Source organism: Homo sapiens, chromosome 2 (assembly GCF_000001405.40).
Source record: "Homo sapiens chromosome 2, GRCh38.p14 Primary Assembly".
Taxonomy (NCBI): Eukaryota; Metazoa; Chordata; class Mammalia; order Primates; family Hominidae; genus Homo; species Homo sapiens.
The window spans coordinates 216,384,692-216,412,663 of record NC_000002.12 but is presented as its reverse complement, the minus strand read 5'-3'; the positions used below and the strand labels follow the sequence as shown (position 1 = coordinate 216,412,663).

At 44.0% G+C, this 27,972-nt stretch overlaps 1 protein-coding gene and 2 long non-coding RNA genes across 4 annotated transcripts in view, besides 5 other annotated features; 1 reads left to right on the top strand and 2 right to left on the bottom strand.

The window, feature by feature from the left end:
- Window positions 1-180, bottom strand: part of SMARCAL1 (SNF2 related chromatin remodeling annealing helicase 1) — a 70,570-nt gene extending 70,390 nt beyond the window's left edge. The window contains exon 1 of the mRNA NM_014140.4: window positions 16-180. The gene's annotated coding sequence lies outside the window, so the exon portion shown is untranslated. The remainder of the gene's footprint in view (window positions 1-15) is intronic.
- Window positions 71-160: an enhancer, noted in NCBI's record as "active region_17095". NCBI's record gives its function as "activates an Ori minimal core promoter by ATAC-STARR-seq in GM12878 lymphoblastoid cells {active_cell/tissue: GM12878}" and the evidence as "EXISTENCE:reporter gene assay evidence [ECO:0000049][PMID:35858748]".
- Window positions 71-418: a biological region, named in NCBI's record as "Sharpr-MPRA regulatory region 13820".
- Window positions 124-418: an enhancer, noted in NCBI's record as "tiled region #13820; HepG2 Activating DNase unmatched - State 1:Tss, and K562 Activating DNase unmatched - State 1:Tss". NCBI's record gives its function as "activates a minimal TATA promoter and a strong SV40 promoter by Sharpr-MPRA in HepG2 and K562 cells {active_cell/tissue: HepG2 | K562}" and the evidence as "EXISTENCE:reporter gene assay evidence [ECO:0000049][PMID:27701403]".
- On the top strand, window positions 164-27,542 carry SMARCAL1-AS1 (SMARCAL1 antisense RNA 1). Its single transcript, XR_001739881.1, has 5 exons — window positions 164-239; window positions 15,662-15,760; window positions 25,041-25,161; window positions 25,809-25,885; window positions 27,280-27,542. It is a non-coding gene; the product is annotated as an SMARCAL1 antisense RNA 1 (long non-coding RNA).
- Window positions 291-380: an enhancer, noted in NCBI's record as "active region_17094". NCBI's record gives its function as "activates an Ori minimal core promoter by ATAC-STARR-seq in GM12878 lymphoblastoid cells {active_cell/tissue: GM12878}" and the evidence as "EXISTENCE:reporter gene assay evidence [ECO:0000049][PMID:35858748]".
- LOC107985984 (uncharacterized) lies at window positions 12,916-17,579 on the bottom strand. 2 transcript variants are annotated; one of them, XR_001739879.2, is made up of 3 exons: window positions 17,226-17,579; window positions 16,655-16,814; window positions 12,916-14,446 (listed from the first exon to the last, which is right to left on the bottom strand). It is a non-coding gene; the product is annotated as an uncharacterized LOC107985984 (long non-coding RNA). The 2 variants fall into 2 exon arrangements; XR_001739880.2 differs by having other exon boundaries at window positions 12,916-13,256.
- Window positions 20,203-20,732: an enhancer, noted in NCBI's record as "H3K27ac-H3K4me1 hESC enhancer chr2:217256655-217257184 (GRCh37/hg19 assembly coordinates)". NCBI's record gives its function as "activates a minimal SCP1, AML or CMV promoter by ChIP-STARR-seq in primed H9 embryonic stem cells {active_cell/tissue: H9 hESC(primed)}" and the evidence as "EXISTENCE:reporter gene assay evidence [ECO:0000049][PMID:30033119]".
- Window positions 27,543-27,972: the final 430 nt, after the last annotated feature.

Sequence of the window (27,972 nt, the reverse complement as noted above, 5' to 3'; positions counted from 1 at the left end):
CTACCACTTTCTCACCCAGGGAGGCCTAGAACGCGAGCCACATTCGCCCCCGGCCCTGACCCCAGGCGCGACTGCAGAGCCTCCCGAGCGGGACCGGTCTTCCGAGTGGACGGTTAGGCCACGGGTATTCAAGCGCTGCGAGTTCGCCAGCCTTATTGTAGCGGCCAGGCCTGAAGGGCTAGGCCACCGCTGAACTACATTTCCCAGCAGGCAACGCGGCCGCAGTTTCGCTTCCAAAAGTAAGAATGATGAGACGAGAACGCGAGCGGGGCTGCAGTGTCTTCTGGGATTTGTAGTTCGGGCCGGGAGCCTGGCGAGAAACGGGAGCTGCAACGTCATGGGCGGGGCGAAAGTGGTGCACCCTGGAAGTTGTAGTTCTCCAGAGGTTTAGCCAAACACTAGGTCCTGAAAGCCTAGGACGTTGAGGTTTCCAAACCCGGAGTCGGCTGTCTCCAGAGGACATCCCAGACAGCCATACTAACTTGGCAGCTCTTAATAAAAAGTATCTCCCCGGGGCATCCATTCCTGGTATTGCTATACTTGCCATTTAAGCCCCACCCGCTGCGCCCGGCTGCCATCATCGTCATCATTGTAGTCATCAGTCATTGTGTTTAGCATAAATATGAGTTACCTCATTTAACCGCACTACAACCTATGGAACACATTCTTGTCCCCCTTTTACAGAGGGGGAAACTAAGACAGCTATTTGATAATATTTCTCAAGGCTTTATTAAGCTAGCTTGTGATTCTGATTCCATAGCCCCTCCTCTTGAGAGAAGATTAGTCATGAGACTTAAAGAGTCACTTTACCCCATCCTGAGCACCAACATCCTGAGCCATCCTGAGCACCATTGGTGATAAATATAACATTTCTCTATCAGTGTGCATATGAATGTTGCTATTGTTCTATTTTCAAACATGGCTCATTTAAAAACAAACAAGTCTACTAAAGGATTTGAAAAAATGGACCAGACATGCTAAGAAAAAGGAAGCACAGCAATGTGTGTAGTTTGATTTTTTTTTTTTTCATCCTTACCTGTACATGTATGTAAACTCATAAAGGTCTGGGAAGGAAACTTAAAAAGTCACCAAACTGTTCAGGAGCAGAGTGGCATGAAATACACTTTTCAGCTTTTTAATCTCTATTTTTCAGAATGATTTGAATTTTCTAAAATAATAATGTAGAATTTGTGTGACTTTTGAAACAATAAATAATCTCCCTTCTTCCTTCCTTCCTTTTTTTTTTTTTTTTTTTTTTTTTTTTTTTTTTTGAGACAGAGTCTCACTCTGTTGCCTAGACTGAGTGTGGTGGTGTAATCTTGGCTCACTTCAGCCTCTGACTCCTGGGTTCAAATGATTCTCCTGCCTCAGCCTCCCAAATAGCTGGGATTATGGGTGCATGCCGCCATGCCTGGCTGATTTTAGTAATTTTAGTAGAGACAGAGTTTTACCATGTTGGCCAGGCTGGTCTCAAACTCCTGACCTCAAGTGATCCACCTGCCTCAGCCTCCCAAAGTGCTGGGATTACAGGTGTGAGCCACTGCGCCCAGCCCATTTGTCTTAAATGACAAAGACATTGCCTGTCTTAGGGGATCTGTGTGAGGTTTAGTAGTAGAAAGTATTCAAATCTCAGCTCTACCCCTTTTATTGACCTGACATACCCAGTGATTGTGCCTCCATTTTCTCATCTGTAAAGTAAATGTAGAAAACAATACCACCTTGGTAAATCTTGTTATTAGAATCAAAGCAAGGTATTATGAGGGGAAGTGCTTAGTGAACTGTGAAATCCCAGAACAGGTAAGAGAGGGATGTTGTTATTATTTGAGGTAAATCTCTTATATCGTCCGTTTCTCTATACCTAGCGCTCATTTCCTACTGTATAGTGTGAACAGAAACTAGTTAATGAACACCTGTCCCTGCCCTTCCTGTCTCCCAACAGTCAGTTAATTTACTAAGAAAGCTGGGTGCCGTGCACTTGACTCATGTCTGTCACCGATTCATATGACCATCACTTCGCTTTCCTGGGCCTCAGTCGTCTCACCTGTAAAATGATACCCTGCTTTGACATATGCTAAGAGGGCCTGTGGACCAGTGGATCCTCATGTTAGATACTAGAATTCTTATAGATTCACAGATCTTACCCCAGAAATTCCAATTCAGTAAGTCTGGAATTGAGTTAGAAGATGTGATTACCTTTCTAGCTCTAACATTCTAAAATTCTAAGAATAGGAAATTAAAATATGCCTTTGAGGCCGGGTGTGGTGGCTCATGTCTATAATCCCAGCACTTTGGGAGGCCAAAGCAGGCAGATCACCTGAGGTCAGGAGTTCGAGACTAGCCTAGCCAATATGGTGAAACCTCATCTCTACAAAACCCCATCTAATACAAAAAGTAGCTGGGCGTGGTGGTGCATGCCTGTAATTCCAGCTACTCAGGAAGCTGAGGCAGGAGAATCGCTTGAACCCTGGAGGCGGAGGTTGCAGTGAGCTGAGATCATGCCATTGCACTTCAGCCTGGGCAACAAGAGTGAAACTCCATCTCAACAACAAAAAAAAATGCATTTGGGGGGAATAATCATCTTCAGAAAGTAAACTAATTAGACCCCACTCAATAGTTGCATCTTTGCTTTGTCAGTAGCATCGTTTACTGAGGTCTTACTGTATGCAAGGCTTTTTAAAAAACTGTATTTCACCAGTTCTTAAGGTAGATTATAATGAAACTTCATTTAGTAAAAAAAGTTTAAAGGCCTGGAAGAAAACACAGGAAACAAGGAGTGAAAGGAGAGGAGAAGACAGCTGTAGCGGTCAAGCTGCAATTTGACTTTGAGCTTCCTAGCAGATAAGCAAAAATGTCCAGAAGTCATATAAGACCTTCAACCAAACACAGCACAGCTGAAGCTCCCAAACACTGGTCACCTGAGCAGTGCCAAAATGGTTCAGAGCATCACCTGGTTGCCTCAGAAACAAGCAAACAAAAGGATAATGTAATGAATATGTTGTAAAACTAAATTTTTACAATTAATTATAAAATCCTGAGAGTCTATTTAATAGGTTTTAAAGTTTAACTGGTTTTTCTTTAGTAAAGTGATGATTATTATAAATACCTTTATTGGGCAAAATAAAAATTTGTTTTTTCTTCCAAAACTTAATCCAATAATGTTTAGTCAGTGAAATCCAAAAAGCTGGCAGACACCACCATAAGGGAATCCAAAGATGAGTAAGGTCCAGTTTTTCTCCCTCCAAAAGGTTACAGTATTTGGAGAACAGAAGACAAATAACTAGAACAGCCAGATTTAACAAATGTCTCAAATATTTGTCCCAAATATTGTGTGGGACATACTTACACTAAAAATGGATTTAAACATATCTGAAATTCAAATGTAACTGGGCATACTGTATTTTACTCGACAGCCTCCTATTATTTGTAGCTCAGGACTTAGTTGAGCAGCAAGCAAATATGCATTGATAGATGATTCATGGATATATTGACACATTGCATTTTAAAGCTAGAAGGAGCTTTAGAGACCATCTGGTTTCATAGGTGAGGGAATAGAGGCCAGATCGGCTGCCAGTCCATATGGCACCTGTGTTAGTCTGCTCAGGCTACAAAAAAAAAAACAAAAAAAAAAAAACACCACTATAGACCGGGTGGCTTAAACAACAGAAATTTATCTTCTCACAATTCAGGAGGCTGCAAAGTCCAAGATCGAGGTGCCAGCCATTGATTTCTGGTGAGGACCCTCTTCCTCTCTATGTCCTTATGCAGTGGAGAGGGAGAGAGCACAGCCCCCTCTTGTGTCCCTTCTTAGGACGCTGATCCTGTCATATCAGAGTCTTGCCCTTAGGACCTCACTGAACCGTCATTCCCTCCTTGCAGGTCTTGTCTCCAAATATGGTCACAGTAGGGGTTAGGCCTTCAATATGTGAATCTCGGGAGGACACAGTTCAGTCCATAGCAGCACCTTTGTGTGTTGTAAAAACACACCCCTTTCTCCCAGGAAAGGAGCCTGGCTCCAGGACCCACTGCAAGCAGAGCATTGCCAGCCCCCAGCGGGGTGCCCCGGCCAAGTGGCAGTCTTGCTGCTTCCCCAGAAGAATACTTCGATTTTGCCAAAGCTACTTCCTCAGGTGGAAGAAATTGATTTCCCATCTCTCTGGAGTAATCATCCCTCCCCAATTCATGCAGACTTGGAAGAGTGTTAATCAGGGGGCCTCATCCTCGGGGAAGTCAGTGGATGCAAGATACGAGGGAAAACACCAGACCCCCTCCTTCTGGGAACTTAATCTGCAAGGATATGATACAATGAGAAAAAGACAACTGAACCGATATAGCCCAGCAGTGGCTTTGAATGGAGCCTGTTCCTTAGTTCCTGTCACCCAGCTTCGAGAGTCACCCTGACCCTGTTATTCCTGAGCCTTGATTTTGATTTTGCTATTCTGTGAACTGCCCTTAGCCTTCCAGTGAACTCTTTATTTTTATTTTTGGAGTGGGGAGACTCTAATTAACCAAAGTCAGTCTTTGTTGCTTGCATCCAAAGAACCCTGACTTCTTTTTTTTTTTTTTTTTTTTTTGAGACGGAGTCTCGCTCTGTCACCCAGGCTGGAGTGCAGTGGCGCGATCTTGGTTCACTGCAACCTCTGCCTCCTGGATTCAAGCAATTCTCCTGCCTCAGCCTCCTGAGTAGCTGGGATTCTAGATGCAAACCACCATGCCCAGCTAAATTTTGTATTTTTAGTAGAGATGGGGTGTCACCATGTTGGACAGGCTGGTCTTGAACTCCTGGGCTCAAGTTATCCACCTGCCTCAGCCTCCCAAACTGCTAGGATTACAGGAGTGAGCCACTGTGCCTGGCCAAGAACCCTGACTTCTAACTCTCAAGTCAAAGGAGTTTTATCATCCCTCCCTCCATTTTCCTTCCTTCTTTTCATCCTCCCCTGAAATATGCTGAACTCTCAATAAGCTGAAAATTTACTGTAAAATACAGGTGCAAAAGGCAACATTTACAAAAGGATCCAAATTATGTGAATTTGTCATTCTCAGGTTCAACCAAAGTCCCTTAGGATTCCACAACATCATCTCTAGGTTATCTTGGATTTATGGTCCCTTGAGGACAAGAGTTGCATCTAAGACATATTCTTTCCAGTCTATAACTCTTAATTATCCACCTTGTGTACTCTAGGGTCCTCAAAGTTTAATAGCAGCGCTACGAATACATTTCAAGAGAATCTGTCTCATTTTCTTTCCTTAACCCATAAAGTGAGATTTAGAAAGGACCTTAGAGAGCATTAATCTCTCTTTAGAACTAAAGAAATGGAAGCATAGAGAAGTTAGCTATGCCTGATGTCATAGACCTGGCACAGGCCAGGCTGGAATGAGGCACCTCAGTCCCCTAGTAGGGCTCTTTCTAGATGCTAATTAAATATACAGATAGTGATTGCATGCTTGCCCTTGCCTGACAGTGTATGTCTGGGCACCTAAAGTAGTTTCAAGTCCCTCTCTGTGGAGCTTACCTGATAGTGATGTAAGTACAGGGCTTCCCTCTTCCCTCAGCAAGGATTCCCTAGAGAGCACTTGACAGCCCTTTGGGGAGAGCTTTTTTGACAGCCACCCCTAGGGCATGTCATCGCTCAGGTTAATTACACCTAGAGTGCTGTGATGAGATTCAGGAGCAGATGCAATGCTTTGGGTGGAAAAGGAAGCTATTCCCTCTCAGATGCTGCCAGTTGGCAAAGACATTTGCATATCCAAAGCACAGAGGAGTAATGTAAAGGTTTATAAGCCAAGAAATTCACCTTCCTTAACGGTTGTTCCGTTCTGATGGACTTAATTGCTTGGAGTCTGACAGTTCCGTTTTTCTTCCTCCTCTTGTCTGCCTTCCTCTAGCCCTCCTTCTCCCTCGACTCTAAATGTCTTATGAAGACAGAATCTTCGTGTAATTTCTTTACACCACGCATTCCATGGCTTGGTATGAGGGTTCTCCTAGTGTCTTAATTTCTCTAACTGGTCTTGGTGGCTGTGATTAGTTCACAAGCCTCTCTCTCAAACCTGGCACATTTTCTGCTGGGATGGCTTTGTCTGTCCTTTGCTAAAAGCACCCACCTAGACACCCTGCTCCAGTGTTTTTAGACTTAGGAAATTTTACTTTTTTCTGTTTCTTCAATATTGCAAATTCCACTTTGTTCATATTCATCCATTCATTCTTTTTTCAACCATTCATTCTTTTTCTTTTCTTTTCTTTTCTTTTTAGACAGGGTCTGAGTCTGTCACTCAGTTTGGAGTGCAGTGGTGCAACCTTGTCTCACTGCAAACTCTACCTCCCTGGCTCATATGATCCTCCCACCTCAGCCTCCCAAGTAGCTAGGACTACAGTTGTGCACCAGTATGCCCGGCTACTTTTTGTATTTTTAGTAGAGACAGGCTTTTGCCATATTGCCCAGGCTTGTCTCGAACTCCTGGCCTTAAGCAATCTACCCGCTCAGCCTCCCAAAGTGATCCCCCAAAGGGATTACACGTGTGAGCCACCACGCCCGGCCTTCATCCATTGATTCTTATATTCACTTAACAAAAATTCAAGGACCTACTATGGGCTGCACGGTGTGCAGAAGCACCAGGGCTGCATTACTGATGTCACCCTTTTTAAATAAAGCTTACAGTTTAGTTAGGGAGGCAGATCCCCCCCACACAAAAGAAACAAAAAGAAACAAATCAGCTAAATGATAAGTGCTGTGAGGGACCTAAACAGAGAGCCCAAGAGGACACTTAAGAGGGAACTATTTCAGAGTGGTCAGGAAAGGTGTCCCCAGGGGAGACCTGAAGGAGGAGAGGAGGCAGCCATGCGGAGCTCAGAGGGAAGCGGGTTCTGAATGAGCTGTAGGGGCAAGCAACATCGAGCCCAGGCAAGGAAGAGCTGAGCTGGGCATGTTTGAGAAGTGGAAGTGAGGCCGGCTTGGCTGGAGGAGGTGCGAGAGGATGAAAAGGACACAAGATGGGGCTGGGGAGAGAAATAGGACAGATAACGTCCAGGTTCTTCAGTACCACGCAAAGACATTGGGAATTTGTTCTGAGAGCAGCAGGAGGCCCCTAATGAGATGCAAACCAGAGTGGAGTAACTTGTGTGTCTCAGGAAGCTACTTGCTGTTGTGTGCAGAAAGCCCCACAGAAGGGCAGAGTGGGGATAGGAGGACCTCTTAGGAAGCCGTTGCAGGAGTCTAGGGAAGAGATGATGGTGATGGAACTGGATGGACAGGTCAGAAAGCTATTTGGAGGTAGCTCCAGCACCATCTCTCTATCTCACAAAGCCTGAATGTCTGAGTCTAGCACATGCACATAAAGTGATGTGGCACATAAAGTGATGCACATGCACGTGCAGGGCTCTACTGCTCACCCCCTGTTGGCCACAATAGACATGAAGTTGGCTTAGAAATTCAAGTTCGGCTAGACGTGGTGGCTCACGCCTGTAATCCCAGCACTTTAGGAGGTGAGGCGGGCAGATCACTTGAGGTCAGGAGTTTGAGACCAGCCTGGCCAACATGGTGAAACCCTATCTCTACTAAAAATACAAATAAAATTAACTGGGTGTGGTGGCGCATGCCTGTAATCCCAGCTACTCAGGAGGCGGAGGCAGGAAGATCGCTTGAACTTGGGAAGTAGAGGTTGCAGTGAGCCGAGATCGTGCCACTGCACTCCAGCCTGGGTGACAGAGTGAGATTCCCCCCAACCCCCCCAAAAAAAAGAAAGAAAAGAAAAGAAAAAGAAATTCAAGGTCATACACTAAACTTTCTTTTTCTTTTTTATTTTTTTGAGACACGGTCTTGCTCTATCACCCCAGGCTGGAATGCAGTGACATGATCGTAGCTCACTGCAACCTTGAACTTCTCAGCTCAAGGGATCCTCTCACGTCAGCCTGTTGAGTATCTGAAATTACAGGCACACGCCACCAAGCCCGACTAACTTTTAAAATTATTTTTTGTAGAGATGGGGTCTCACTATGTTGCCCAGGCTGGTCTTGAACTCCTGAGCTCAAGTGATCCTCCTGCCTTGGCCTCTCAAATTGCTGAGATTTCAGGTGTGAGCCATCACATTGGGCTGAGCTTTCTTATGGACCATTTCTTCCTGCATATGAGGTAGCTTCTTTACAGAGACATAGATTGGAAAAATTATGTTCTTTCATGATTATTAAGGGAGAATGAAGGCAAAGGGAAGCCAAGTAGCTTGTGCAAGGATATAGAGAACGCTGGAGCCCAAACTTGATCTCAGGCATCCTAGTTTCTTCTACTCATCCAGCAGGCCACTCTGTAGCTCCAGCAAGTGGAGCACCATAAGCCTTTGATCAGTAGTCTACTCTTAATATATATAATTGTATCCACCACACTGGAAATTGCCTAAGTGTTCAAAGTGCATTTTTGTCTACAGATGTTAAATGTTAAGGTTGGATTAGAATTGGCTGTCTGCAATGTCCCTGAGGACCACAAGGGGGCGAATAGATAGGCTGCCTGTGTCCCTCTGTCCCTCTGTCTCACCTGCCCCTCTGTACTCCTTAATTTTTTTTATTTATTTATTTTTTTGAGAGGGAGTCTCTCTCTGTCGCCCAGGCTGGAGTCCAGTGGTACAATCTCGGCTCACTGCAACCTCTGCCTCCTGGGTTCAAACGATTCTCCTGCCTCAGCCTCCCAAGTAGCTGGGATTACAGGCACTCGCCACCACGCCCGGCTAATTTTTGTATTTTTAGTAGAGACAGGGTTCCACCATGTTGGCCAGGCTGGTCTCAAACTCCTGACCTCAGGTGATCCACCCGCCTCGGCCGCTGAAAGTGCTAGGATTATAGGCATGAGCCACCGCACCTGGCCTACTCCTTAATTCTACATGTGTATGCTTTGTCTCTTTGTGTCATTCTTTTTCATTTTATTATAGTAAATTATATCTATTTACTTTTTATCTTTCTCTTTCTCTCTCTCTCTCTCTTTTTTTTTTTTTCTGTGCTCCTCTAACCCCACATCCAGCTGCCCATAGCATGGAGCTAAAGCTTATTTCGCCCAGTTTGCCGTATGTGTTAAATTGCTCCTGGTTTTCAGTTCTCAAAGGGTACAAGTGAAACATTTCATATTTCCCTCCTCTAGCCTTTCCTCACGCTGATTTGATGTTTTCTTATATGGCCACCAATTGCCTTCCTCTTTTCTAGCTGAGTGGTCTTCAATAGAAAAAGAAAGAGGGGTCTACCCCTGACTGAAATAAAATAGCACACACACAAACAAAAGGCCAATCAGTTCTTAAGGAATTTCCTGAGTAGGGGAAAGGAAGGCTTTGAGGCCTGCATCCTGTCTCTACTGTAACTAAGATGGCACCAAAATAACCATCCAAAGTGTGGGATTCCTGTGGATCTGGGCAAAAGGCAATTCCTTCCTTCCCTTTCTCCAGCATTTCACATTTCTTATTGTCAGATTATTCTTTTTAATGTTTGCTCCAAATTATCTGCAAATTCTGTCCAAATTCTCTGCAAATTTGTTCTGTCCATGGGGGAAAGATAAATGGAGGGGCTGCTAGCTATTTTGTGTTCCTGTTGACTTGGAGGACTTACAATCAGCCCCTTGCACAGAGCCAGGCTACAAGCTGCGGGTTCAGACCTCAGGGTGGGGAGGATACAAGGCTGGCTTTCTGCCCCAAACAGACCTATTTATATCTGCATTCGATGGAGGCACAGCCCAGACTAAATCAGGGAGAAGGAACGGTCCCATTCATCGCAAGGATAAATTACCCTAATTGAGTGGTTAAGAGCCTGACTGATTTCTAGATACTTTACAGTAAGGGACCTGCTACTCCTAGATGCAATAATAGAAAACCACGGGCCATCAGAGCCATTTGGGAAAGAGCATTAGCATCCCGTCTGCTCACATCCTTGGTCCTCAGCACTGGTTTCCAGGAAATTAGCTCCCTTTTAACAATCAGTGCAATATTATTTGAGTTTTTACCTTAATTTTCTCTTGTACGTTTCTGAAAAAGCAGGGTCTCTTTTTCTTATCCCTACATGTATACATGTGCAGTATATGCCTTTTATTTTTAATTTTTTTCATTTTTCCATGTTACGACAGTATATGCCTTTTACATTTGACACAAATCTCTACTCTGAATTACGAAGGTAAATCCCCACGTCCCTCTACCCTGCCTCCGTAAAACAGGCAACTCTGGAATTCCTCCTCCGCACCCCCTCCAGCTTGCTATAGGCACAGACACCTCTGCTTCTGGAAAAAATGAAAACTTAGTTATTTACTTTTTGAAAAATGTAAAAGTCCTGCTTTATGCAGTCAGTTGGAGAACTGGCTTTTAAAAATATTATTATTATTATTTTTGAGACAGAGTCTTACTGTGTCACCCAGGCTGGAGTGCAATGGCATGATCTTGGCTCACTGCAACCTCTGCCCCCCGGGTTCAAGCGATTCTCCTGCCTCAGCTTCCTGAGTAGCTGGGCTTAAGGCATGTGCCACCATGCCCAGCTATTTTTTGTGTTTTTAGTAGAGACAAGCTTTCACCATGTTGGCCAAGCTGGTCTTGAACTGCTGACTTCAAGTTATCTGCCGGCCTCAGCCTCCTAAAGTGCTGGGATTATAGGCATGAGCCACTGTGCCTGGCAAAACAAAAAATATAAATTTTTTAAAAACTGTATCTTTTTGAATAGACAATGCATTTACATGATTAAAGCTCCATATATTTAATATATACAAAAGTATATATAGTGGAATGTCTCCTTTCTGCTGAGGGCAGATTTAAAAAGTAACCTATGGCATCAGAGATCCTCATTGGCATATATCCCTTCTAAGGCTCTGTATCTAATTTTGTATTTTTTTGGTAAAAGTGCTCCCCCCAAATTGTATGAGCTTCAGCACACCCAAAACTTGATTCTGCTCTTCTTCCATTCTTAACTCCCGCATCCCATTCCCTTCCCAGCAGGCAGCCAATGTCATCCATTTCTTTTTTTAAAAAATTGTTTATTTTTAATTGACTTATAATAATCATGGATATAATTATTATATTTCAATTACATAATCAATTTCTTGCATATTTTTCTGGATATATTCTATGCACATTTAAGTAAAAACATTTATTTATCTTCCCTTTCATACAGATGGCAGTGTGCTATATACACTGTTCTGCACTTTTTGCATTTGTCTTGGAGTAAATTCATCTCTTTAAATTTTGTTTTTTCCATCTGTAATATGGAAATAATTGTACCTATCCCATAGACTTCCTGTTAGGATTACCTGAGATCATGTAAAGCACTTAGCTCATTGCCTGGAATACATTAAGTAATCAATAAATGTAAGTTATTATTCTATTAATGTTTAAAATATACTACAAAGCTACAATAATAAAACTAGTGTGATATTGATAACATATTAGCAGACTGATGAAACAAAGTAAGAAGCCTCTTCAACTTGGTCTTTATGATTTGTGTGCAAGATACTGTTGCCAACAGATGAAATACAAACACTAAAAAGAAAGTTTGTCTCAAGGAACTTAAAGACTAGGAGAAGAGAGAATACCTGTGTGGAAAATATAATAAAAAAAGAATTGTGGATAAGATCAGTGCAGTGGTGTGTGCCTGTAGTCCCAGCTGCTTAGGAGGCTGAGTCAAGAGGGTTGCTTGAGCCCAGGAATTCAAGGCCTTAGTGGGCTATGATTATGCCTGTGAATAGACACTGTGCTCTAGCCTGGGAAACATAGTGAGACTCCGTCTCTAAAAAGAAATCAATCAATCAATCACAGATAAATGGCCTTGGGGGTTTAGTGAGGAGCTCTGATGATGGAGACACAGGGAATACAGAATCAGGAAGGTTAAGCGGATGAAGTGGTGTCTGAACTGGCTAAGTAGAAATTTGGAATCCAGCAATAATAGGAAGATGGTGGTTATGGCAAGGATGATCCAATCTGATGGAAGCACAAATGCTGAGAAAAATCTAGTTAACCAAAATAATGTGTAAAAGAGTTTATTCTTTAACATAGAGTTATAGATTGGCAGGATGTTTTCCTATATGACACGATCTCTGGGGTCCTTTCTACAAGTCTGAACAAGTAAAAGAGAGCCAGAAGTCCCTTGGCGGGGGATAAGATGTGCATTTTGATTGAATTTGGCATCTCAATCTAACTCCTAACTGCATTAAAGGGGGAAAACATTATCAATATTAACAAAACTGATCCCTCATGAACAGACTCAAAGTCTAAATCTTTAGCTAGCACTTTATCAATAACATGTTCTAATTACATGTGAGGCTTTGAAAATATACCTCTGTGTGATAATTGCTGGAAAGCAGATTTTAATCCCAGGAACTTATAAATTGCAGTTGTAAAGATGCAATAGAGAGCTTATCCATTGACACTATCTAGTGTCATTTGCTTGCAACTGCAGATATTGACAGGACGCTGCTTGGAACAATGGGTGCCCTGTCCCCCTCTATGACCACCACCCCAGTTGATCAAGTGTATAAGTGACAGTTTATATGCAAAATGGTCCAAAGGCTACCTGATCACCCCCCAAGGCCACATGGGGCTTTGAGGAAACTGAATGCAAAGCCACGTGTTAGATAAAATAAAGCTTATATCTTCATCCCAGAAATTAAAAAGCCCCCTGGCAAAGTCAGCTTCCAGAAAAGCTGAGGCCTGAAAGAAGAACCAGTCCCCCAAAGCTCTATCATTGGATTGAATTGTTTCAGACCTGAGGAGGAGGGAGCTCCTGAAGCTGGGCCCACCCTGGGACATGGAGGGTGGGCTTCTTCTGCCATCTGCCACCTCTTTATTCCAATGCCTTCTCCTCTCAGTCTAGATTTCCCTGGGCCCCCAGTCCTCGCCCAACTAGTGTGTGCTGTTTGTGTGATCAGCAAATCATTTAGGGAAAAGCCTTTTAATTAAGAGGAGAGCAACAAATTATTAAGTCAGAGTCATTTATTACCCTGCCATCTGGCCAGACTTCCTTCTGGCCCCCCTTCTTCCTCAACCAAGCCTGCACAGACATATAAAGTAACAAAGAGAATGGAAAAAGAGGAGACTTCTTTCTGCCTGGACTTGGAAAGAACTGTCCAGCTCCTCCTGGAAGCAGGGTAAGGGTTCTAGGAGGACTTTTCCACACCCTTTGTATACTGTAGTAGCCAAGTCTTGGTTTTCCTCTCCTGTAGAACAGGGATGATGAGGTCTACCTTAGGGCTTCTGGATGCCTGGCCCAATGGCTGGTATAGTGGAGGCACTCAGGAAACAGAAGCTGAATCTGAAGCCTGCAAATTGGAAGCTTTGTTATGGATGGTGGCGTCAGCAGTAGTGGAGACAGTGATGGCTGGAGGGAGCCTACTAAATGTTTCCATCCTGCAAGCTCAGCTGGCTCTCCCTCTGTTGTGACCCACAGAGGTATTCCCTTGCTGTCTCCCTGCAAATGCCAGGGAAGCTCAGGAAATTCATGCCCACCCCTTGCTCCCGTCCCCAACCAAACCTAAATGCTGGGACATTATTCTAAGAGAAAGACAGCTGGAGACCACAGTATCTGGTTCAGGCATGATGAGAAGGACTGAGCAACACTTAGAGTAGGAAGAAGCTAAGGAATCACACATAGGGGTGTATTTCAATAGCCAACAACTCAGAGAGGACTATGCGGGATACATGATAAGACAGGCACTATTTCCTAAAAGCAAAACACCACAGTTATGACAGCTATGAATGAAAACTAATACAGGCATATTGGAGACTCAATTACCATGAGTGGTGTGGCAGTCAATGATGTGATTTTCCAAAAGAGTGAGCAAATCTGGTAAAGAAATTAACAACACAAACTCTAATCTTCCCTTAATTTACAGAGTAGTTTCATTCTTAGCATACAGTTAGTGCATATTAAAAATCATTTTTAAAAAGTCTCTCTGTTTACATATAAAATTGTTACTTTTTAAAGCTCAGATAGTTATAAGCAAGTTATAAACAACTCTGTAAATATCTAGTAGAACATTTGAAAATTGTGTGGAGCATAGGGTAAGTATATATGAGATGGTGAGATTGTCTCACAGATAGTAAAAGATTGAGCTGCCTGGGGTCCCAGCCTCTACTTGCCAGAAGTAAGCCCCTTACCCATCATTGGGGCAACCAAAAACACTCCACACTTTTTCAAAATGCTCCCTCGTGGGTGATCCTGTGCTAGACTAAAAATTGAAATGTGAATCAAACTAAATTAATGTTTAAAAAAACCTTACTTCGACACAATCAAGAAATTTTGAATTTGAATGGATACATGATGATTTGAAAGAATTTTTGTTTTGTTAGATATGATAATTGTCTTAGTCCATTTGTATTGCTGTAACAGACTACCACAGACTAGGTAATTTGTAAACCATAGAAATTTATCTGGCTCAGGGATCTGGAGGCTGGGAAGTCCAACATGGAGGAGATGCATCTGGCGAGGGCCTTCTTGCTGTGTCGTAACCTGGCAGAGGGCATCACATGGTGAGAAACCTCTCCAGAGCAAGACAGCAAGAGGGGGCTGGATTGCTTTTATAACTATCCCACCCTGGAGACAACTAACCACTTCTGCAATAATGATTTTAATCCATTCTTGAGGGCAGAGCCTCCTGATCTAATCACCTCTTATTAGGCCGTGCCTCCCAACACTTTTGCCTTGGTGAGTAAGTTTCCAAAACACCAACTTTGGGGGACACATTCAAATCATAGCAATAATGAAATGGTTTTACATAAAAACACATTCAAACATGCATATACTCATATCAAAAAATCAGGCTCACAATAAAATTTCAGTAGTGACCATGTGAGTACAATATATCTTTGCATTTTATAGAAAGTATATCTTGGGGTGGCTACTCAGCTCCCAAAGACTCACTCATCTTGTGGAACTTCTTTAATACAATACTCAAGGGGACCTTAGTAGTGGAGTTTGTGTCCCTTACTCCCCTGTCTGTAGGTGATGAGTCTATGTGGGGCTGGAGCACCCCTGACCTAATTGAAGCCCATCAGATTGCACAGGAATCTGGCCATTCTGAAAAGAGAGGGCCTGGGGTGTGGGAGCTGAGTCACAGTGGTGGCAACTCCTAGAGAAGAGCCTTGTCCTGCAGGAACCGAAGTCTCCAAAACCACCCTGTTCCCTGTCCTTGTTGAGGCTTAGTAATCTGGTCCTTCCAAGGTTTCTGTGAGACACCACAGAATCTTTCCCCCAGATTCCCTTCATTTGTGTCCAAGACAGCTAAAGTTGGTGCTTGCTGTTTATTACCAAATAATTTTAGCAAGATTATTTCATTCTGGAGGCAAATAATATTTCAGGAGATGATTTACAGATAAAAGATGGATTACTTAAGACTAGGTCCTTTGGAAGTCAAAATTAGAGAATTGTTATGTTCCTGAATTTGTTTGTTTTTTTAGATAAACACTACAAAGGGGGATGCAGTTGAACTTGGCAAATCGTCTGTCTTTTGATATATTGGAAATTCTCATTTAAATAGAATAGCTGTGATAGCCAGTTTCCAAAAGGGCCCCCAGTATTGTTTGCTGCTTGGTATTCAGATTCTTGTTTAGTCCCCTCCCACACGGAATAAGGCTGACCTGTGCAAGCAATAAAATACTATGAAATATTATGTGTGGAGTCATAAAAAATGGAGGCTTCTGCTTTGTCTCTTGGATCACTCACTAGGGAGGAAGCTATTCCCCATGTCATGAAGACCCCATGGAGACAGCCATGTGTTGAGGAACACAGCGTCCTGCCAGCAGCCAGCACCCACTTGCCAGCCTTGTGAGTATGTGAGCCACCTTGGAAGAGGGTCCTCCAGCCCTGGTTAAGAGGCTTTAGATGAATACAGTATGTGGCGACCATCTTGATTACAATCTCATGAGTGTCCCTGAGCCACTGAAACTGTGAGGGAATCAATGTTTGCTGTTGTTTTAAGCCACTGTGTTTTAAGTTTTGTTATATTCCAATAGATACTTAGCCCAAAAATCAAATCAAACTCCTCACAAACTGTGGGTGGCCTTCCCACTTTCTTCTCCCAGCTACATTTTTTTTTTTTTTTTTTAAGACCAAGTCTTACTTTGCCGCCCTGGCTGGAGTAGTGACGTAATCTCCGTTCACTGCAACCTCTGCCTCCTGGGTTCAAGCGATTCTCCTGCCTCAGCCTCCCAAGTAAATGGGACTATAGATGCACACCATCATGCCTGGCTAATTTTTGTATTTTTAGTAGAGATGGGGTTTCTCCATGTTGCCTGGGTTGGTCTTGAACTCCTGATCTCAGGTGATCCACCCACCTTGGGCTCCCAAAGTACTGGGATTACAGGCATGAGCCACCACACCTGGCCTTTCCCAGCTACATCTTTATTTTTTTCTTTTGTTTTCTTTTCAACTTCTTTTGGTTTTTCCTCCCCCAACTACATCTTTGACCTTATCTTCTGGTCCTTTCCCTCTCTCTCATTCTGCTTCAGATACCCTGGTCACCTGCTTTTCTTGGAACTTGCCTGGCATACATCTGCCTCACACACTTTGTATCTGTGGGCCTCTCTGCCCAAACCACCCTTCTCCCAGATACTTAAGTGGCTCGTTCCCCTCGCCTCCTTCAACACTTGGTTTAAATCTCCCTTTCTCAGTGATGCCTTCCCTGGTCAACATATTTAAAATGAAAATCTTTCTCCTTACCTGGCAATTCCAACCTCCTCTCCTGTTTTATTTTCTCCATCACTCTTATCACCATTTCACATTCCATATGTTTTACTTGTCCATCTTCTTTATCATCAGCTCCAGGAGGCAAGGATTTAAGTGCATTTTGTACGTGACGTCCTTAGGGTCCAAAACAATGCTTTGCATGAAGGAAGCGCCAATAATTATTTGCCAAGTGAATGAATAAATGAATTAATCTAGTTAGCTTAAGATATTAAACACATTATAGGGGTTCTCTGTAGGAAAATTAGAAACTTTGATAACCCTTGGGAATGAAATAAGAACCACCATCTGGAAATATCCAATACTAACATTTTTCTACATATTCTTCTTGGCTGCTCTCATTCATGCCCTTAGATTTGCAAGGAATGGAAATCCACTCTGGCTAACCCAGACAAATTAAAGGCTGCAGAGGACTCTAGGGAAATGGACAAGGCACAAGGCACCTCTGGGGGTTAAGAGAACCAAAACTCCAACCACCGTGCTGCTCTCTCTGGCTTGTGGGGCCTTAGGACCTCCCTCCCATGGCATCTCTGCTTCCTCTCCTTACCTGCTCCAATCTGCTCACTCATTAATTCACATATGGTTTTCATGGCTGTCCTGGGACTGCCATGCTTTTCGGTCTTGCTGGCTTAGTCCCTCTTTGTCCCAGTTCCCAAGTTCCAGGAAAACTCTTAGTATGCCAGCTTGGGCCAGGCATCCTCGTCGGGTAGACGAGGTCATAAATCTGTATTTGTTTGCTGGAGCTGCCATAATGAAGTACTACAAACCGGGCGGCTCAAGCCATGGAAATCTGCTGTCTCGCGGTTCTGGAGGCCAGAAATCTGAGATCAAGGGGTTGGCGGGTTGGTTCCTTCTGAGGGCTGTGAGGAAGCATCTGCTCCATGCCTCTTGTCAAGCTTCTGGTGGTTTGCTGCAAATCATTAGCACTTCCTGCCTTCCTCTGCATCATGTGATCTCTGCCTTCATCTTCACATGACATTCCCCCTGTGTCTATCTCTTTGTTTCAAAATTTCCCCTTTTTATAAGGACACTAGTCATATTGGATTATGGTGCACCCTAATGACCTCTTCTTAACTTAATCATCCACAAAGACCTTATTTCCAAATGAAGTCACATTCTCTGGAATTGGGGGTTAGGGCTTCAGCATAGACCCCGTGATGGTCACACTGAAACACAAACGCTCCCCAACTTACAATGGCTGCAGGACTCACCTCCTTTTCTCTGCTTCTGAGTGAGGGTGATGCTCTGATATCAACTTGCAAAAAGGACAGGTCTAGATGCCCTTTTCCCCAACAGATTGTATTATATATATGTCTCAACATCTGCCAAAATGGAGACTTGGGCCAGATAATCTCAAACCTCTCTTTGAGATCTTAAAAACCTGTGGTCCCTAAACCTGAGCCATTGGCCTGGCAATATGGGCAATGTACAGGAAAATGAGTGGTCCTGTTTAGCCAGGACTCAGGGTGCCTTTTCTTATAGAGGGTCCTGTGGTTCCAGGCACCTGGAGAGACAGGGTAAAGTCACTTAAGTGGGAAGGTCATATTGAATTCATCCCTGTATCCTTAGAGCCCAACACAATGCTGGGTCTTGCAGGACATGTTTGATGTCTAAGATAAAACCCCTCAAATGCCAGTGGCTGAGCTGAAGCCCCAGTCCTCAGAGACCCCCAAACTGTTTCTGAGAGTTTCCCAGAGTGCTGCCTTGCATGTGTCCAGAAAGAAATCCAGGAGATGATTACTCTTGCCTTATCTCTGAGCCACTGCCTCCTTCACTGACCTTCACCGTGTTTCGACTGGATATGATTGCCCTGCTACTACCACTGATTTGACTTCCCTGGTCTCAAGGGAGGGGACACTGCCCACTGCTCTGCTCTTTGGTCCCAAATGGGTACCAGACTCTTCCCTCAGCCTCTACAGCATCACTGAGACCAGGCTGCAAATCTTAAAGAGACTTTTCTGTAAGTCGGAGATTAATGGAAGGAAATATAAAAACTGAAAATTACCAAAACTCTTGCCCGATATCAGGTTCTTCCCTAGGATCTGTTTCCTTGTTTGGCTCCTGGGCTGCCTACATTTGGCAAAGGGTAGCCTTCCTTCTGCCCCAAAATGCACTCACTGGGAATATCCCACTCCTCTCTTGGGACGCCAGATAAAGACATACCCTGCTCTGGGGAAAACGAACACTTTTTTTTCTTTCCACTCTCTGTCTCTCCTCTTTATATCCTTATAGCCAGCGTCAAATCAAATTCTTGCCAGGATGATGGACAATGAGAGCATCCATTAGCTTCAAGGGCAAGCCCTCCCCGTTCCTCCACCAGGGTGTGTCTGGCCTAGATAAGACAACCACAGAATGGCCTGACATTAATGAATTTTTTCACTTGGGTTTGCTAGTCTTATTCCTGTGCACCTTATTGATGAAGCAATGAATGATGTGACCTAAGTCAAGGTACCCACCCTAATTCCAACCAACAAGGCCTACACCAAGCATCTTCTTAAGTATTCAGACAGCTTCCTCTTCACACCAGAGCTTATAAATTCCCAGCACAACCTCCAGCACGGATCAACACTATCTTCCCCTCCTCTGGCCATCGTCAGTTCTCCAAGCCCAGGATCATTAATCACTCTGCCACCACCAGGCCCTTTCTGTCAGCCATGGTCCCCTCTGACCTGTCCTGTCAGTCCCCCTCCCTTGCCTCAGCCTCTGACAGCAGAGCTGAGGCTCACACATGTCAGAATGGAATGGGCAAAACCAATCAACAGGGGTGTGAATCTCCCCTACTGCCCACCCTGCCTCCCACCCTTTCATTCCTCTACTTCTCAATAGCACGCCATGACCTGACACATTTAGATTTTTTTTTTCCTTTGAGAAGGGGTCTCACTCTTTTGCCTAGGCTGGAGTGCGGCGGTGCGATCTCAGCTCACAGCAGCCTTGACCTCCCTGGCTCAAGCGATCCTCCCACCCTAGCCTCCTTAGTAGCTGGGACTACAAGCGTGCTCCACCACAGCCAGCTAATTTTTGTACTTTTTGTAGGAACAGGGTTTCGCCATGCTGTCCAGGCTTGTCTGGAACTCCTGGGCTCAAGCAACCCGCCCACCTTGGCCTCCCAAAGTGCTGAGATTAAAGGAGTTAGCCATTGCGCCCAGCCCACACTTGGATTTTTAATTTTTTCCTGGGATTAGCCAAGGGGAAGTGGTGATGAGAAGAAGTGGGGAAGAACTTAGGGAGAACAACAAACTCTGGGGGGTCCTGTGGGGCTTTGGGTGCACCCTAATGCCTGGCTGCCCCGAGCACATAAAAAAGTTCTCCAACTTGGACCCAGATTCCCGTGAGGAGAAAATGCAAAACCTAAATGGAACTGCAAAGGAGAAGCAGAATATGATGCTTTACTTGTGGGCCCATTGTCTTATTTTCTTTACAGCCTGCTTCCTAATTTCTTCAGGGCCCTGGTCATATGGGCATGAATGAATTAAGTGACTGGCATCTCAGTAGGAGGCAAAATTGTAAAGTAGGCCACTCCTGCCTCCTCTGAGCTTCTGGCCGTATTAGCTCTTTGTGCTAAAAGGAGCAGACTCAAGGGCCTCCCTTCCACTCCCAGGAAGCCTGCTTTAATGGTGACCTGCTGGGAAACATGCCCCGTTCTTTGTCATCTAAACCCTTAGCAACTCTAATGGTAGGAATTTCAGGCTTGATAAGAAGGGACGGTGTCCCAGGCAGGTGGGTAGAGGAGATATTTTTAGGCAGGCAGAGCCTCTGAGAACCCGTCAAATCACAGTGGCCCGCCCACTCCACCTGTGTTGTCAGCTTTAAATTTGGATGGTATTTTTGGTGGCACAGAAGAGTCTATGCCTCCTGCCACTGGGAGGGCCCATTCTCCCACCCTGCCATTCTCTGGATGTTCCATCCTTCTCCTCCCCGCTGACCCCAGCACCCAGCTGGCTCCACTCAGCTTGAAGGACAGCAGGCTGCCAGACCAGCCTTGCTAGACTGGCCATCTGTCCCAGAGGAGGGTGGCAGTCCCACCTATCCCAAGGCCTCCCAGGGCTGCTGATACAACTGCTCCAAGAAGAAGATTTTATTTTATTTTAATTAATTAATTAATTAATTTTGAGACAGTGTCTCACTCTGTTGCCCAGGCTGGAGTGCAGCGGCGCGATTTCCACTCCTGGCTCACTGCAGCCTCTGCCTCCTGGGCTCAAGCGATTTTTGTGCCCCAGCCTCCTGTGTAGCTGGGACTACAGGCGTGTACCACCATGCCCAGCCTAATTTTTGTATTTTTAGTAGAACGGGGTTTTGCCATGTTGGCCAGGCTGGTCTTAAACTCCTGGCCTCGGGTGATCTGCCCTCCTCTGCCTTCCAAAGTGCTGGGATTATGGGTGTGAGTCACCATATCCGGCCAAGAGAGATTTGAAAGCATGTTTTCTCATAGGTGCCACCGACTGAGATTGGGTTGCAGGGATAGTGACTTCTAGCACTTCAGGCCAAATCCTCAATCTCTACATGGATCATTTCAGAAAATGGGACCTACTATCAGATAGAGTTGGTGAGGGAAAATGAGCTGGGGTAGAATAGTGAGGAGATGTGGCTTCTGGTCCTGACTCTGCCTCTCAGTAACTGAGTGACCTTAGTGATTATTTCCTTCTCTAGGCCTCCATTTCCTCCTCTGTAAAATGAGAAGGCTAGATAGGTTGTATCTATTTCCTTTTAACGCTTCCTTTTTACGGATTTAATATGATTCTTATGACCAAATATCTGTATGAAGCATCCAGGCAGTATCTGCAATGATTCGGTGGCATTTGAAATTGTGACAAGTGTCCAAACTTGAGGCCTATACTTTCCTTAATTTTATTAATATTTTAAGGAGAAGTATTTTGTTATATTTGGGAAAGGTATGGGGTGGGAGGGGGCTGGGTAGTGCTTCATTCTACTTTATTTGCTGGTATAGATTAGATTTATTTGTTGGGTTCAGATTAATTTGAAAATACTTATATCTGTTGTCTCACTGGGGTGACTTTTGGGTACTGGAAACTCTATTCCTATTCCATCTGTATCAGTCAAATCACTCTGTTGCAAGCAACAGAAACCCCAACCCTAATGGACTAAAGCCAAGCAAAGAAAACGTATTGTCTCATAAATCTAAACCATTTGTCACTAAGATCCACTTCTTCCCTGTCCTCAGCTCTGCATCCTCGAGTCTTAGATAGGGCCTTTCTTCATGATTAGAAGAAAACTTCCAGGCCGGGCACGGTGGCTCATGCCTGTAATCCCAGCACTTTGGGAGGCTGAGGTGGGCAGATCACCAGGTCAGGAGTTCAAGACCAGCCTGGCCAACGTGGTGAAACCCATCTCTACTAAAAATACAAAAATTAGCTGGGTCTGGTGGCACGAGCCTGTAATCCCAGCTACTCGGGAGGCTGAGGCAGGAGAATTGCTTGAACCGAGACACAGGAGGTGGAGGTTGCATTGAGCCAAGATGGTGCCACTGCACTCCAGCCTGGGCTGCAGAGCAAGACTCCTTCTCAAAAAGAAAAAAAAAAAAAGAGAGAGAACTTCCAGTAACTCCCAGGGCCACATATGTCCTTATTGAAGTCTATGTCAGTTAGGATAATTTGAGCTGCAAACAGGAGAAAATCTGACCCCAAAGTAGCTTAGATGATAAAGCAATTTTTTTTTTTTTTTTTTTTTTTGAGACAGAGTCTCGCTTTGTTGCCCAGGCTGGAGTCCAGTGGCGCGATCTCGGCTCACTGCAAGCTCCGCCTCCCGGGTTCACACAATTCTCCTGCCTCAGCCTCCAGAGTAGGTGGGACTCCAGGCGCCTGCCACCACTCCCGGCTAATTTTTTTGTATTTTTAGTAGAGACGGGGTTTCACTGTGTTAGCCAGGATGGTCTCGATCTCCTGACCTCGTGATCCACCCGCCTCAGCCTCCCAAAGTGCTGGGATTACAGGCGTGAGCCACTGCGCCCGGCCAAGAAATTTTTCTCTGTGCACAAGAAATATAAAGATGTGGTGAGATCCAGAATGGTTGATTAAGCACCTCAACAATGTAGCTGAGATGCCAGGTTTTTCCCACCCCTTCATTTTCAGTGTCAATTCTCTCAGGATGGCTTCCCTCATGGTTACACAATGGCTGTTAAATTTTTAAGTGTCATATTCAGACACTGCAATGTGCAGAAAAAGAAGTGAAACTACCTCTCCCTTCTGCTCTTTTGTCAGAAAAAGGAAATGTTTCCCAGAATCTCGTAGAAGGCTTTTTACATCTTATGGGACAGAATTGCATCACATGCCCATTCCTCACCCAGCCACTGATAAGTAGGATAAAATGTTCACAGTTAGCTTAGACTAGTGGTTCTCAATCAGGGGAGATGTTGCCCCATTGGGGCCATTTGACAAAGTCTGGAGTCATTTTGGGTTGTCACTGAGTGGGGTGGGGTGGGGTGCTCCCGCAGTCTAGTAGGTAGATGACAGAAATGCTGCTAAACATTCCAGATTGCACAAGACAATTCTTCTACAACAAAAAATTCTCTTGTCCAAAGTGTCAATAGTGTAATGTTGAGAATCCTGGCTTAGACGATCACCTAGGGTGGAATGGCTGGTGGAAAGTCAACCAGCCATAATGTCTTCTGCAGTGTCTGCTCTAGGAAAAGTCTTTGTTCCAGAATTTCTAGCAAAATTTCACTACATTTTATTGGCTCTGACTGCATCACATATCCACCCCTGAAACAATTTCTGTGTATAGGAAAATGGGACGCAATTATTGGATTAAGCCTAGGTCACATGTTCCACCTCTGAGCCAGGCTCAAGTCAACTCTACCTGAAACACATGAGCTGAGACTTGGGGAGGAAAGGATGATACCCTAGAGAGAAGCAAGAATGTCATCAAGATAAGATAAATATATGATGAGCACCAATAAACAAACAAACAAACAAACACAAACAAACAAACAAAACCCCAGATGTCCACTACCCCAGTCCTCTTACTGAGAAACTGTGGGCAAAAATTGTGCATGTGCTTTGACTTGGATAGCAGCAGCATCAGCAGCAACAGCATGCTAATGGGACTGTCCAGGAACTCTCTGGGCTGACTCCATGGATTTCTCACTCCGCATGGTAGATAGAAGTACTGACTTTAATTATCACCATCCAGGAAGTACTTTTCACCTGAGGAGATGCTCAGTCAACCTAGCAAAGTGAAAGTGGGAGGAGCAGAGAAGGAAGAAGGAGAGGAGGAGGCAGCAGCTAAGAAGAGTGCAGAGAGAGGGAGAGTTGGAGCACAGGTATACTGTTTGTCCCCAACCCCAGGTGACTTCTCTGGGCTGGGGGCCATTTCTATGACCCAGAAACCCAGGCTTCCCTGTCTTGTGGCTTTCAGTTGGGTTTGGTCAATGGGTGGCATTATCAGGGGATGAAAGGGAGGAGGAATGAGAGATTGGGATATTTGTTCCTCTTGTTTCCTCCCCTACTTGTCACAGTTCTGGCAGTCGCTACATCCAGCTTTGACTAGTGCTTCTGTTGGGTGGTTCCCCATAACACCACTTCCTCCCTTTGCTCCTTTAGGTCTAAAGGTGACATTACATTACTGATGGTACCTTCCTAGATGAGTCAGTGTTGGTTTTCTTAATTCTACCTATACATCTGTAAATAGTACCTTCATTAGAAAGTCTGAGTGTGTTGTCTGGTTCCTATAAGGATCCTGACTAACAGGCAGGTGGGAGGCACAAGAGCCTCTCGTGCGAGACTGTTGTGCCCGGGTACCACATGCTTTGATCACACCCAGTGCTCTGTGAGCCTAAAGAACATCTACTCATACCTGTTTTTAGGACCTAGCCTTCTTGAGAAGCCTAGTAGTTAAAATGATGGATTTGCAGGTTATTCTCTCTCTCTCCTTCCAATCTCTGCCAACCTCTTCTCCCTATTTTCTAAGCAAGTAAAAAGTATACTAACCATGATACATTTGATGAAGGTGCCTCCCATTTCTTGAACACATTATGTGCCAGACTCTATGGTAAACACTTAAGATGCTTTACTTCATTTAATCTTCACAACAACTTATATGTTAGATACTCTTGTTTTTCACATTTTACAGTTGAGGGAACTGAGGCTCAGAGAATTAAGTCTTGCCCAAGATCAAACAGCTGGTAAGTGGCTGTGGTAGCTAATACCAGTGGTCACCAATATTTTCAATTCTCTTCCTCTTCCTAGATACATGGAAAACTTTGTTTTCCATCTTTCTTGGCAATTGGGTAGGGTCTTGTGACTAGTTTTGCCAATGTGTTGTGACTTTGAGTGATAAGGTGCTTCTAGGCTGACACATGTAAGAGCTCTCATGTGGGCTTTAATGCTTTATTCCTCTGCTCCAGCAGTCATGGAGGCATTTGTTGAAATGGAGGTGCCAAAAGATTGAAGAGATGTGGATTGCTGACCCACTGCATGAAGGTGGTTGCCCTACAGAGTCACCTGGACCTGCACTGACTTGGTATAAAGGTAAAATAAGCTTTTATTGTGTTCAGAAACTGAAAATTTGGTGCTGCTTGTTACTGCAGCGTAACCTAACCTATCCGACTGAAACAGTGAAGGAGCCAGGATCAAATCAAAAGTCAGTGTCTTTAACCACTGGATAATACTTCTTCTCCCTACCTCTTAATCCATGGAAATTTCTTGAAGGTTATGGTTTTGGAAGGATGAGTGAAAGGGGACAAAAGAAAAGAAAGTGATACTCATGAGGACTATTATTGAAGGAATAAAAATGTTAGAAAAGGGATTAGCAAAAAATCATGCTTGTCTTTCCTTTACTCCCCATGTCAATAAAAAAATTAAAGAAAATAAAAGAGAGGAATCTTTAGAAAAATGTTTATACATAAGGCCTCCAGGATTTTTGCTCTTGGCCAGGGAATTAATTGTGGCTGCTTCTTACTGAAAATAACTTGCAGCCCATCTCTAGGGAAGTAGAAGTGGAAATTCTGTCTGCTTTAGAAGAGAAGCTTCAAGCAACAGCCCCTTTGCCGGAAAGCAGGACGGAAACTCCATTCGGGTCATTGTCTCCCTGTGTGGTTTATCTCTTTTTTTGGTTCAATAAAGACAATTTGCTGGTTTAACACTGTTTATTAATCTTAACCACCTCCTCCTTTCAGCCCTTCATCACCTACTGCTCTCAAATCCCAAGGATCGACAGGCCGTGTCTTCGTATCTAAGTTTGGAAAGAACCCAGGTAATGAGGCCAGTGTTCATGGATCTAAAGGCACTTTGTATAATAAATCACAGTCCCCCAAGGTTACTAGAAAACCTGAGTTTAAAGGGATTACATAGGAAACCAAGATGCTAAAATGACCTCTTTTTCTGGAGTGAAAAAGATAATACTTTCTATAGAAAGGAAAAAAAAAAGATTTGACAAAGAAGGTGGTACTTATTGCCCACATCTTTATATACCTATGGATGAGAACATAGAATGGTGACCCATCTTATCCATATTTCAGGGCATGTGTACACGTGTCCCCAAGCTGGAAGCAGCTATGAGACAATTTGCTAATTAGCATCATGTTTACACATTTATTGTCAACTGTAATTACTTGTTTATTAGAACAGAGGTTTCCCTGTTTATTACAGTCATTATAGTCTGTCAGCAAGAGACAGTGTGCTTGAATTTCACAAGTATATGTACATTGCACAAATCCTGCCAGCTCTAGCTGGGACGAACTCAGAGTGAAAATGCTCAGAGAGGTAATTCTCAAGGAGGTATGGGGATTTAATTTTAGCTAATAAGGAGTTATCCTGCCCAATAGAACTGCAAATCTTCTCCTAAGTAAGGAATTTGCAGCAAGCTCCTTCTTATTTAGCATGAACATGTTTATCTTCAGTAGTGTTAATGCCAGGCATTGTGCTAGGCACTTACTTGATATGTGTGTTTTCATTCCATCCTCACAACAACCCTTCAATGTGGAAGTGAATAGCCTCATTTTCTAGATGAGGAAACCAAGGCTCTGAGAGGTCAGGAGACTTGCACTGAGGGATGCATCTGGCATCTATTACACACACACACACACACGCGTGCACATGCATACACACTCTGCTCACTCATGCTCTCGTACCCCACGTAAATGAATTACAAGATAACACTGATTGGGCTAATTTTTCTGGGGTACATAACTGCAGGGGTGTATAAGAAGGGGAATTGCTGGGAAGGACAGGACGGGGAGGTAGAGTCTCTAGGTTAGGAAAGGCAAGCAGAGGTGTGGCAACGTGTTAAGATGGGGAAGCTGGTGATGGAACAAGGTTGTGCTGTTTGCTGAGGAAGTTAGAAAACATGATGACTCATCAAGGAATTGGGAGATCAACTGTTGTGGATGGAGTTGGACAACCAGGACATTAAGAATCATTAGGTCTCTGATTATGTGTAATCCTTTTTTGCTTTCACAGATTCTTCAGGGCAGAGGTTGTGTCCCATAAATAGTGCTATGCATTGAGTGTCTTCTGGCTCTGTCAGTGTGAGGAGTAAGGGGTGGTCATGATCATCTTGGAAAGAGCCCACTGTTGCTGAGAGTTACTATGTGCCAGACACCATGCAAAGTGCTTTACGTTAATTTTTTTCATTTGATTTTTCTGCAGCTCTATGAGGTTTGATCTGTTTTGTTTGTGGATGAGGAAGCAAGCACAAGGAGTAAAGTGGCCAAGGTGACATGACCATGAATTATCAGAATCCAGACTCAATGCTCCACCTTATCTGAACTAACAGAGTTCTGAGAAGTGCCCCATGTAGTAAGTTCCAGCATCCCTCTGAGATGTTGCGGATTCAGTTTTAGGCCACCATAGTAAAATGAATATTGCAACAAAGCAGGTTACACACACTTTTGTTTTCCCAATGTAATAGAAGTTATGTTTACATTATCTTGTAGTCTATTAAGTGTGCAATAACATTGTGTCTAAAAAACAATGTACACATCTTAATTAAAAAATACTTTATTGCCAGAAATGCAAGTGATCATCTGAGCCTTCAGCTAGTCATAATCTTATTGCCGGTGGAGGGCCTTGTCTCTATGTTGACAGTGGCTGGTGGATCAGGCTGGTGGTTGTTGAAGGTTGGAGTGGCAGTGGGTTTTGTTTTTGTTTTTTTTTTCCTTGAGACAGGGTCTTACTCTGTCACACCTAGGTTGTAGTGCAGAGGTGCAATCACAGCTCACTGCAGCCTTTCAAGTAGCTGGGACACCAGGCACGTGCCACCACACCTGGCTAGTTTTTAAAAATTATTTGTAGAGACAGGATCTTGCTATGTTGCCCAGGCTGGTCTTGAACTCCTGGGCT